This window comes from Homo sapiens, chromosome 6 (assembly GCF_000001405.40).
Source record: "Homo sapiens chromosome 6, GRCh38.p14 Primary Assembly".
Taxonomy (NCBI): Eukaryota; Metazoa; Chordata; class Mammalia; order Primates; family Hominidae; genus Homo; species Homo sapiens.
Window position 1 is genome coordinate 10,659,681 of NC_000006.12, and position 11,741 is coordinate 10,671,421.

At 44.1% G+C, this 11,741-nt stretch overlaps 1 annotated feature.

Annotated features, from left to right (window-relative positions):
* Nucleotides 2,387-2,587: a silencer, noted in NCBI's record as "peak5653 fragment used in MPRA reporter construct". NCBI's record gives its function as "represses an SCP1 promoter by STARR-seq MPRAs in K562 erythroleukemia cells {active_cell/tissue: K562}" and the evidence as "EXISTENCE:reporter gene assay evidence [ECO:0000049][PMID:32103011]".

Genomic DNA, 11,741 nt, shown 5'->3' on the forward strand with positions numbered 1-11,741 from the left:
GAGAGGGGGAGGTGGCTCATGCCTGTAATCCCAGAGAGAGGTGACAGCTGCTGGCAGCCCTCGCTTGCTCTTGGTGCCTCCTCGGCCTCGGCGTCCGCTCTGGCCATGCTCAGGGAGCCCTTCAGCCCGCCTCTGCGCTGTCGGGGCCCCTCTCTGGGCTGGTTGAGGCCGGAGCCGGCTCCCTCAGCCTGCTGGGAGGTGTGGAGGGAGAGGCACGGAAAGGAACTGGAGCTGCGCGCGGCGCTTGCCGGCCAGCTAGAGTTCCGGGTGGGCGTGGGCTTGGCTGGCCCCGCACTCGGAGCGGCCGGGCGACCCCGCCGGCCTTGGGCAGTGAGGGGCTTAGCCCCCAGGCCAGTAGATGTGGAGGGTGCACGGGGTCCCCCAGCAGTGCCGGCCCACCGAGGCTGCGCTCGATTTCTCGCCAGGCCTTAGCTGCCTCCCCGCGGGGCAGGGCTCAGGACCTGCAGCCCGCCATGCGTGAGCCTCCCCTGCCCCACGCTGTCGGCTCCTGCAAGGCCCGAGCCTCCCCGACGAGCGTGGCTCTCTGCTCCGAGGCGCCCAGTCCCATTGAGGACCCAAGAGCAGAGGAGTGCGGGCGCAGGGAGCGAGACTGGCAGGCAGCTCCACCTGCGGCCCCAGTGCGGGATCCACTGGGTGAAGCTAGCTGGGCTACCCAGTCTAGTGGGGACTTGGAGAACCTCTATGTCTAGTCAAGGGAGGGTAAACACACCAATCAGCACTCTGTGTCTAGCTCGGGGTTTGTGGATGCACCAGTGGGCACTCTGTATTTAGCTAATCTGGTGGGGACTTGGAGAATCTTTATGTCTAGCTAAGGGATTGTGAATACAGCAATTGGCACTCTGTATCTAGCTCAAGGTTTGTAAATGCACCAATCAGCACCCTGTGTCTATTTCAAGGTTTGTAAATGCACCAATCTGCACTCTGTGTCTAGCTGATCTGGTGGGGACTTGGAGAACCTTTATGCCTAGCTAAGGGATTGTGAATGCACCAATCAGCACTCTGTGTCTAGCTCGGGGTTTGTAAATGCACCACTCAGCACCCTGTGTCTAGCTCAAGGTTTGTAAATGCACCAGTCAGTGCTCTGTGTCTAGCTAATCTAGTGGGGACTTAGAGAACTTTTGTGTCTAGCTCAAGGTTTGTAAACGCACCAATCAGCACCCTGTCAAAACGGACCAATCAGTTGTCTGTAAAACAGACCAATTGGCTCTCTGTAAAATGGACCAATCAGTAGGATGTGGGTGGGGCCAGATAAGAGAATAAAAGCAGGCCGCCGGAGCAGGCGGTGGCCATTTGGTGAGGTTGTGTTATGTGGTGTGGGTGGTTTGTTTTTACTTTGTAATGAATTTTACTGTTGCTCAATGTTTGGGTCAACACTGCCTTTGTGAGTTATAACACTCACTGCGAAGGTTTGCAGTTTCAATAATGAAGCCAGTGAGACTGTAAACCCACTGGGAGCAACTAATAATGCGTCGCCCTAACAGCTGGGACGCCCACCACAAAGGTCTGTAGCTTCAGTCCTGAGCTAGAGACCACGAACCCACTAAAAGCAAAAAAACTGAACGCAGCTGAGCTATCAGTAGGGAGAAACGCTGGTGGACACGCTGCCTTTAAGAACTGTAACACTCACTGTGAGGTTCCATAGCTTCATTTTGGAAGTCTAGACCAAGAACACGCTAATTCTGGTCACGCTAGCACTTTGAGAGGCCAAGGTGTGTGGATTACTTGAGGCCAGGAGTTCAAGACCAGCTTGGCCAGCATGGTAAAACCCTGTCTCTACCAAATATACAAAAATTAGCCTGGCGCATGGCAGCACGTTCCTGTAATCCTAACTAGTGGGGAGACTGGCAGGAGAATCATTTGAACCGGGGAGGTAGAGACTACAGTGAGGCGAGATTATGCCACTGCACTCCAGCCTGGGAGACAATAAGACTCCATCTCAAAAAAAAAAAAAAAAAAAATCCCAACCCTTTTCTTGTTACAGCAATCTCAAGGGAGTTTAGATTCCCCCATAAGATAACATAAAAACCTTTTTATAGGAACAGCATATAGTTCTGATATAACAATCTTGGTGCATCCACTAGTTCTTTGTCTAGTATTAAAATCCATTTTTAAAGTTTCTTTGAGCTTCAAGAATAAAGGTGCAAAGCCCATTCTGTTCCTTTTTCAACTTCTCCAGAAGTTTTCCCTTTTGCCTATTTCTTGCTATTAGAGAAGATTCTGGTTAAGACGACTCTGGTTAAACAAAGCATTCATATAACAAGTTTCCCTTTAGGTTGGTCTAACAATGCAGGCATCTCCATCATGGTCCACATTCTGAAAAGGTAGCAAGGGGTGAATCCTTACCCCTTTTGGCAGCGGTGGGATCAAGAATGGTTGTGGAGTAGATATATTTCAGGAAGCTCAAGCAGTCTATGCCTAAGGTCTGGCAGGCATCTTGATTCTGCCAGACCCATGACCTAACCACACACAATGATGCTATCCCAGTTTCTTCCTTTTCAGTGAATAGAACAACTAACCATGCTATTACTCAAGCCAAAAAATCCTAGGGGTAACTCTGGATTCTGCCTATCTCCCTCATCACAATCAAAAAGCTGACATTTTGTCAAGAGTCATTTGAACCAGAGCGACTCCATCTTGAATAGGGGCTGGGTAAAACAAGACAGACTACTGGGCTGCATTCCTAGGAGGTCAGGCATTCTTAGTTACAGGATAAGACAGGAGGTCCGCAGGACTGATATCACAAGATACGGGTCATAAACACTGGTGATAAAACAGGAGGTGGTGGTTGGGCGCGGTGGCTCGCTTGCTAGTGATCCCAGCACTTTGGGAGGCCGAGGTGGGCCGATCACTTTAGGTCAGAAGTTTGAGACCAGCCAGACCAACATGGTGAAACCCTTACCTCTACTGAAAATACAAAAAAGTAGCCGGGCATGGTAGCACGCATTTGCAGTCCCAGCTACTCGGAAGGCTGAGGAAGGAGAATTGCTTGAACCTGGGAGGCGGAGGTTGCAGTGAGCTGAGATTGCACCACTGCACTCCAATTTGGGCAAGAGTGAGACAGTGTCTCAAAAAAACAAAAAAAACCGGGAGGTGCTAAAGAAGCCAACCAAAACCAATATGGCAAGAAAGTGACCTCTGGTCATCCTCATTACTCATTATGCACTAATTATAATGCGTTAGCATGATAAGAAACTCCCACCAGCACCATGACAGTTTACAAATGCCATGGCAACATCAGGAAGTTACCCTATATGGTCTAAAAGGAGGAGGAACCCTTAGTTCCAGGAAATCCCTACCCCTTTTCTGGAAAACTCATTAATAATCCATCCTTGTTGAGCATATATTCAAGAAATAAGCATAAAGATAGCTTATCTCTATGCTATTTTTATGTCTATGGTGTAGCTATTCTTTTGTTCCTTTCTTAATAAGCCTGCTTCCACTTTACTGTATGGGCTTGCCCCAAATTCTTTTCTTGCGTTAAGATCCAAGAACCCTCTCTTGGGGTCTACTCTGGGACCCCTTTTTAGTAATAATTTTATCTCTAAAATGCACCTTAAAGTTCTCCACCTCTCTCCGTATACACCACATCCACCCTGGAATTAAACTCCAGTCTCTAGGCCAGGACAGCTGCAGTAGTTTCCTAACGGCTCTCTGTCTCTCCTCCCATCTCCCTCCACACTATGTTCCATAGAACAGCTGGAGTGAGTTTTCCTTCAAGTTCAGGGGTACATATGCAGGATATGCAGGTTTGTTACAGAGCTAAATGAGTGCCGTGGTGGTTTGCTGCAAAGATCATCCCATCACCTAGGTATTAAGCTATTCTTCCTGATGCACTCCCCAACCCCTCCAACAGGCCCCAGTGTGTGTGTTGTTCCCCATGTGTTCTCATTTTTCATTTCCCACTTATAAGCAAGAACACGTGGTATTTGGTTTTCTGTTCTTGCATTAGTTTGCTGTGGATAATGGCTTCCAACCCCATCCATGTCCCTGCAAAGGACATGATCTCCTTCCTTTTTATGGCTGCAGAGTATTCCATGGTGTATATGTACTACATTTTCTTTATCCAGTCTATCATCGATGAGCATTTAGGTTAATTCCATGTCTTTGCTATTGTGAATAGTGCTGCAATGACATGTGCATATGTCTTTTCAATAGGATGATTTGTATTCCTTTAGGTACATACCCAGTAATGGGATTGCTGGGTCAAATGGTATTTCTGCCTCTAAGTCTTTTTTTTTTTTTTTTTTTTGAGACAGAATATGGGCTCTGTCGCCCAGTCTGGAGTGCAGTGGTGCGATCTCGGCTCACTGCAAGCTCCGCCTCCCAGGTTCATGCCATTCTCCTGCCTCAGCCTCCCAAGTACTGGGACTACAGGCGCCCGCCACCACACCCGGCTAATTTAAGTCTTTGAGGAATCACCACCACACTGTCTTCCACAATGGTTGAACTAATTTACACTGCCACCAACAGTGTAAAAGCGTTCCTTTTTCTCCACAACCTTGCCAGCATCTGTTGTTTATTGACTTTCTAATAATAGCCACTCTGACTGGTGTGAGATGGCATCTCGTTGTGGGTTTGATTTGCATTTCTCTAATGATCAGTGATGTTGAGCTTTTTTGCATATGTTTGTTGGCCGCGTCTATGTCTTCTTTTCAGAAGTGTCTGTTCATGTCCTTTGCCCACTTTTTATGGGTTTTGTGTGTGTGTGTGTGTGTGTATTTGTTTAAGTTCCTTGTAGACTCTGGATATTAGACCTTTGTGAGATGGATAGATTGCAAAACTTTTCTCCCATTCTGTAGGTTGTCTGTTTATTTTGACGATAGTTTCTTCTGCTGTTTCTTTTGCATTTTAGTTTAATTAGATCCCATCTGTCAGTTTTTGCTTTTGTTGCAATTGCTTTTGGCATTTTTGTTATGAAATCATTGCCTGTGCCTATGTACTGAACGATATTGCCTAGATTTTCTAGGGTGTTTATAGTTTTGGGTTTTATGTTTAAGTATTTAATCCATCCTAAGTTAATCTTTGTATACGGCGTAAGGAAGGGGACCAGTTTCAATTTTCTGCATGTGGCTAGCTAGTTCTTCCAGCACCTTTTATTGAATAGGGAATCCTTTCCCCATTGCTTGTTTTTGTCAAGTTTGTTGAAGATCAGATGGTTGTAGATGTGTGGTCTTATTTCTGAGTTGTCTATTCTGTTCCATTGGTCTATGTGTCTTTTCTTGTACAAGCCATGCTGTTTTGGTTAGTGTAGCCTTGCAGTATAGTTTGAAGTCAGGTAGTATGATGCCTCCAACTTTGTTCTTTTTGCTTAGGATTGTCTTGGCTATACGTGCTCTTTTTTGGTTCCATATGAACTTTAAAATAGTTTTTCTAATTCTATGAAGAATGTCAATGGCAGTTTAAGCGAAATAGCATTGAATCTATAAATTACTTTGGGCAGTATGGCCATTTGCATGATATTAATTATTCCTATTCATGAGCATGGAATGTTTTTCCATTTGTTTGTGTCCTGATTTCTTTTTTTTTTTTTTTGAGACAGAGTTTCACTTTTGTCACCCAGGCTGAAGTGCAGTGGCGTGATCTCGGCTCACTGCAACCTCCACCTCCCAGGTTCAAGTGATTCTCCTGCCTCAGCCTCCCGAGTAGCTGGGATTACAGGCACCCGCCACCACACCTGCCTAATTTTTTGTATTTTTAGTAAAGATGGGGTTTTGCTGTGTTGGGCAGGCTGGTCTCAAACTCCTGACCTCAGGTGATCCACCCACCTCAGCCTCCAAAGTGCTGGGATTACAAGCCTGAGCCATTGCGCCCAGCCCCTCTCTGATTTCTTTGAGCAGTGGTTTGTAGTTCTAGAAAAGCTCCTTCACTTCCCTTGTAAATTGTATTCCTAGGTATTTTTTCCTTTCTGCAGCAATTGTGAATGGGAGTTGATTCATGATTTGACTCTCTGCTTGGATGTTGTTGGTATATAGGAATGCTAGCAATTTTTATACATTGATTTTGTATCCTGAGACTTTGCTGAAGTTGCTCATCAGCTTAAGTAACTTTTGGGCCGAGATGATGGGATTTTCTTGATATAGAATCATGTCATCTGCAAACAAAGATAATTTGACTTCCTCTTTTCCTATTTGAATACCCTTTATTTCTTTCTCTTGCCTGATTGTCCTGGACAGAACTTCCAATATTATGTTGAATAGGAGTGAGAGAGGGTATTCTTGTCTTGTGCCAGTTTTCAAGAGGAATGCTTCCAGCTTTTGCCCATTCAGTATTATATTGGCTGTGGGTTTGTCATATATGGCTCTTCTTATTTTGAGGTACGTTCCTTCAATACTTAGTTTATTGAGAGTTTTTAGCATGAAGGGATGTTGAATTTTATCAAAAGCCTTTTTTGTATCTATTGAGATAATCCTGTGGTTTTCATCTTTAGTTCTGTTTATGTGATGAATCACATTAATTGATTTGTGTATGTTGAAGCAACCTTGCATCCCAGGGATGAAACCAATTTGATTGTCATGGATAAGTTTTTTGATGTGCTGCTGGAATTGGTTTGCTAGTATTTTATTGAGGATATTTGCATCAATGTTCATCAAGGATATTGGCCTGAAGTTTTCTTTTTTTGTTGTATCTCTGCCACGTTTTGGTATCAGGATGCTAGCCTCATGGAATGAGTTAGGGAGGAGTCCCTGTCCCTCCTTTTCAATTTTTGGAAATAATTTCAGTAGAAATGATACCAGCTCTTCTTTGTACCTCTGGGAGAATTCAGCTGTGAATCCATTTGATCCTGGGCTTTTTTTTTGCTTTTGGTTGGTTGGTAGGCTATTATTAATTGCTGCTTCAATTTCAAAACTAATTATTGTTCTATTCAGGGATTCAATTTCTTCCTGGTTTGGTCTTGGGAGGGTGTATGTGTCCAGTAATTTATCCATTTCTTCTAGGTTTTCTAGTATATATGCATAGAGGCATTTATAATATTCTCTGATGATTGTATTTCTGTGGGGTCAGTGGTGATATCCCCCTTATTATTTCTGACTTTATTTCATTCTTCTTTTATTCTTTATTAGTCCAGCTAACAGTCTATTTTTTCAAAAAACCAACCCCTGGATTTGTTGATTTTTGAAGGGTTTTTCATGTTTCTATCTACTTCAGTTCAGCTCTGATCTTGGTTATTTCTTGTTTTCTGCTACCTTTGGGGTTTGCTTGCTGTTGGTTCTCTAGTTCTTTTAGTTGAGATGTTAGATTGTTAACTTGAGATGTTTCTAGCTTTTTGATGTGGTCATTTAGTGCTATAAATTTCTCTCTTAATACTGCTTTAGCTGTGTCCCAGGGATTCTGGTACATTTTCTCTTTGTTCTCCTTAGTTTCAAAGAACTTCTTGATTTCTGTCTTAATTTCATTATTTACCCAATAGTTGTTCAGAAGCAGATTGTTCAATTTCCATGTAGTTGTGTGGTTTTGAGTGGAAATTCTTAATCTTGAGTTCTAATTTGATAGCACTATGGTCAGAGAGACTGTTATGATTTCAGTTCTTTTTCATTTGCTGAGGAGTGTTTTACTTCTAATTATGTGGTCAATTTTAGAGTAAGTGCTGCGTGGTGATGAGAAGAATGTAAATTCTGTTGTTTTGGGGTGGAGAGTTCTGTAGTTATCTCCCAGGTCCACTTGATCCAGAGCTGAGTTCAGGTCCTGAATATCTTTATTTTCTGTATCAATTATCTAATATTATCAATGGGGTGTTGAAGTCTCCCACTATTATTGTGTGGGAGTCCAAGTCTCTTCGTAGGTCTCCAAGAACTTGCTTTATTAATCTAGGTGCTCCTGTATTGGGTGAATATATATTTAGGATAATTAGCTCTTGTTGTTGAACTGAACCCTCAGCTCCATCAGGTTGGTTATGTTCCTCTCTAAACTGGCTATTCTAGTTATCAGCTCCTGTATTGTTTAGATTCCTAGCTTCTTTGCATTGAGTTACAGCATGCTCCTTTAGCTCAGTGAAGTTCAATATTACCCACCTTCTGAAGCCTACTTCTGTCAATTCAGCCATCTCAGTCTCAGCCCAGTTCTGTGCCCTTGCTGGAGAGGTGTTGTAGTCATTTGGAGGAGATGAGGCACTCTGGTTTTTTGAGTTTTCAGCATTTTTGCATTGATTCTCTCCCATCTTTGTGGGTTTTTCTACCGCTGATCTTTGAAGTTGCTGACCTTTGAATGGGGTTTTTGTGGGGTTTTTGTTGATGTTGTTTTAACAGTCAGGAGATTCTTCCATAGGGCTTCTGCGGTTTGCTGGGGGTCCACTCCAGACCCTTAGTTGCCTCAGTTTTTCCCATACCTGGAGGTATCACCAGTGAAGACTGCAAAACAGCAAAGATGACAGCCTGCTCCTTCCTATAGAAGCTTTGTCCTGGGGGGTAACTGACCTGTTGCCGGCCCAAATGCACCTGTAGGAGATGGCTGGAAACCCCTATTGGGGGGCCTTATTACCCAGTGAGGAGGAATGGGATCAGGGACGCACTTATAGAAGCACTCTGGCTGCTTTTTGTAGAGCAGGTGTGCTTCACTAGGGAGAACCCTTCCTTGTCTAGACTGTTTGTATTCTCCAAAGCTGACAGGCTGGAACAGCTGAGTCTACCAAACCACAGAGATGGCAGCCAATGCTCCCCTTAGGAACTCAGTCCCATCTCTGGCAGACTGTTGCCATTGGCTGGCTGGAATTCTAAGCCAGTGTGTCTTAATCTGTGAGGTGCCATGGATGTGGGGCCCACAGAACAACGCTGCTTGGCTCCCTGGATTCAGCCCCCTTCCCAGGATTATTTACAGATGGATATCCTACCTTGCCAGGGATCCGAGGGTCAGAGAATGTAAAACTCCTGGGTCTCTTTGTGTCTGAGAAGCTGCTCTGCCAAGACTGCGTGTAGCTTTGTGTATCGGACTCAAGGCCCTGGTGGCACAGGCTCACAAAGGGATCTCCTGATCTGCAGGTTGCAAAGATCCATGGGGGAATTGTGGTTTCCTGAGTGGGCTTGCACAATCACTCACCACTTTCCTTGGCTAGGGGCAGGGGTTCCTTTGGCTCCATGCTGTTCCCAGTTGGGCCATCACCCCACCCTTCTTTTCTTTGTTCTCTTCGGGTCAAGTTGTTTGCCTAGTCAGCCCCAATGCAAGAACCTGGATATTTCAGTTGAAGGTGCTAAATTCACTCCCCACTTTCATTCCTCTCCATGAGTACTGCAGCTGCTTCTAATAGGCTATCTTGGCCCCTCTGCCTTTGGAATCACTTTCTAAAGGCAAAACTGACCATGCCAATCCCATCCTTAAAATTAGTTCATTGCCTCCTAAATACAATTTTAATAAAATCCAAATTCTTTACAGTGACCTAAAATCCCTGCCTGAGCTTACTCACGATTACCACACGAGCCATGTATCTGCAACAGGGGACAATATCAACCTCCAGGGAGGTGAATATTGGTTCTGGAGGGGAAGAGAGGGGATAAAGTAAATCTTTCTTTTTCCAACGTATAAAGAACAGGTATAGATAGAGCATATATAATACCTATGAAATTAAAATCTTATGGAAGGGGAACAATTAGAAAAAGAGTTTAAAGAAAAATTGAGAGATCCGCCTAATCTAATCTCAGGTTCCTCTTCCCCTTACCTATAAGACCAGCGCTACACAATATAGTAGCCCCTACTGACATGTGGCTACTGAACACTTGAAACATACCTAGTACAAAAGGAAAAGCAAAGTTTTAATTTTGCTTAAATAAAATTTCAATAGCCATATGTGGCTAGTGGCTACCATAGCAGACAACACAGCTCTAGACACTCTGACAGACCTCGTTTTGGTTCAAGGATATCAAGCCCTTTGCACATGCTATCTGTATCTATCCATGCTAGAGTCAGGATACTTTTGCTACAAATAACAAAAATTCAGAGTGGATTAAACATAAGTCCAGATGAGAGAATCCAGGGTTGGCTAATTCAACAGCTTCAATGCCATTATCATGGATCCAGGTTCCTTCCATCTTCCTTCACTGCCATCCCTGGTGCATGAGCACTACCCTAAGATTGTTCCCCTAAGAGTCACAGTATGTCTGCCACAGCACCAGGCATCACATCTAAACCTAATGCTCAGTATGAGACTGTAGCTGTCTCTTTTTTGTTCCTTTTAAAAATGAGATAAAACATCACCTCACATCTCGTTAGCCAGAATTTTATCATATGTCTCTTATCAATCACTGGCAAGAGGAATGGGATCACTACACATGGCTCAGATGCTACAAGAGCCATTCCCTGGAGCTGAATATAGTGCTGGTCCCCAAAACATATGGCTAGAGGAGGATGATGGATACTTGATCAAGCCAGGGCCCTGTAGGAAAGTAGGGACTTGCACACCTTGTATTAAGGAGGTGAGTGTGAAAGTAGAACTTCACCCTCTGTTCTAGGTAGAACTAAGTTGAGCTAGTTGAGAATATCCCTGTGCCACTGGTTTTCAGAGTGTTGTTATCCATAAACTTTTTAGAGAACTGAAAATTGTCAGGTCCCACCCCAAACCTATTGAATCAAACTCAGGATGGTGCCCAAGAATCTGTGTTTCAGAAAGTCTTCTAGGAGATTCTGATACACCCTAGAGTTTGAAAACATTGCCTTATTCCAGTGGTTTTCAATTGGGTGGTGGTGGTGGGGATTTTGCCTGTAGGGGACATTTGACAATGTCTAGAGACATTTCGGTTGTCACAACTGGAGTGCAGGGTGCTACTGGCATCTAGCAGTAGAGGTCAGGACAACGTGCAAGACAGTCTCCCACAGCAAAGAAGTGTCCAGCCCCAAATGGCAATAGTGCCAAGGCTGAGAAACCATGGGGCAGAGGAAGCTCCTTTACAATGGCTGCAGCCCGCCTGGCTCTCCATGTAGGATTCGGTCTTTGAACCTGTTTAGCGCAAGGATTAGCATCTGTCAAGCACCTTCAGAGCAAAAGAGATGTCAGACTGCCCTTGCCCACAGTCTAATCGACTTGTTTCTAAGCAATCAGTCTTCTAGCAGTCAACTCACATCAGTCCCAGGGGTCATTAAAGTATCCATCCATAGCAAAGCAATAAAACAGGACACAATGATCATCTTCGGGACAAAAAAAAAAAGACATTTTTTAAGGAGCACAGTCAATATACACATTGGCTGGCTTTTATGAGGGCCTAATTCCTCTATCTTAGAAAGTTGACATGCTGTTTGGATCAAGCAAATTTTTTTCCCTGCTTAGGAATCTTTCTGTTCAATTGAGTCTCTACTGCCACATCTAGCTCTCTTATGGGGCCAGGAAATGGAGATCAAACATCCAGTTCTAACTAACATTCTCTAGACAAGACACAAGCAAGAAACCATGCATTGTCTGTGGATACAATTTCTCTCCATGAGAGTTTGAAGTTAGAGAAAGCAGCAAATCCTATCAGAGTAGCCAATGCCACAATCAGTTCAGCTCAAGCTCACCTCATATTAAACCTATTTCCAAGGGTTTTATGGCACAGCTTGTTCTACCATGATCATCACGTGAGCTCTTCTGGCCCTTACTTAATGTAACACTTCCAGGAACACATGTGCTGGTAAAGTTTATTTGCGTTAATATTCTCTCATGTCAATCACATGTAAGCCCTGGAAGTTGGTTTTTATATACAGAATCCAGTGCCTTCCTGGGAGAACTACTTTTTTCCCAAAACAAAAGACGACACAATTAG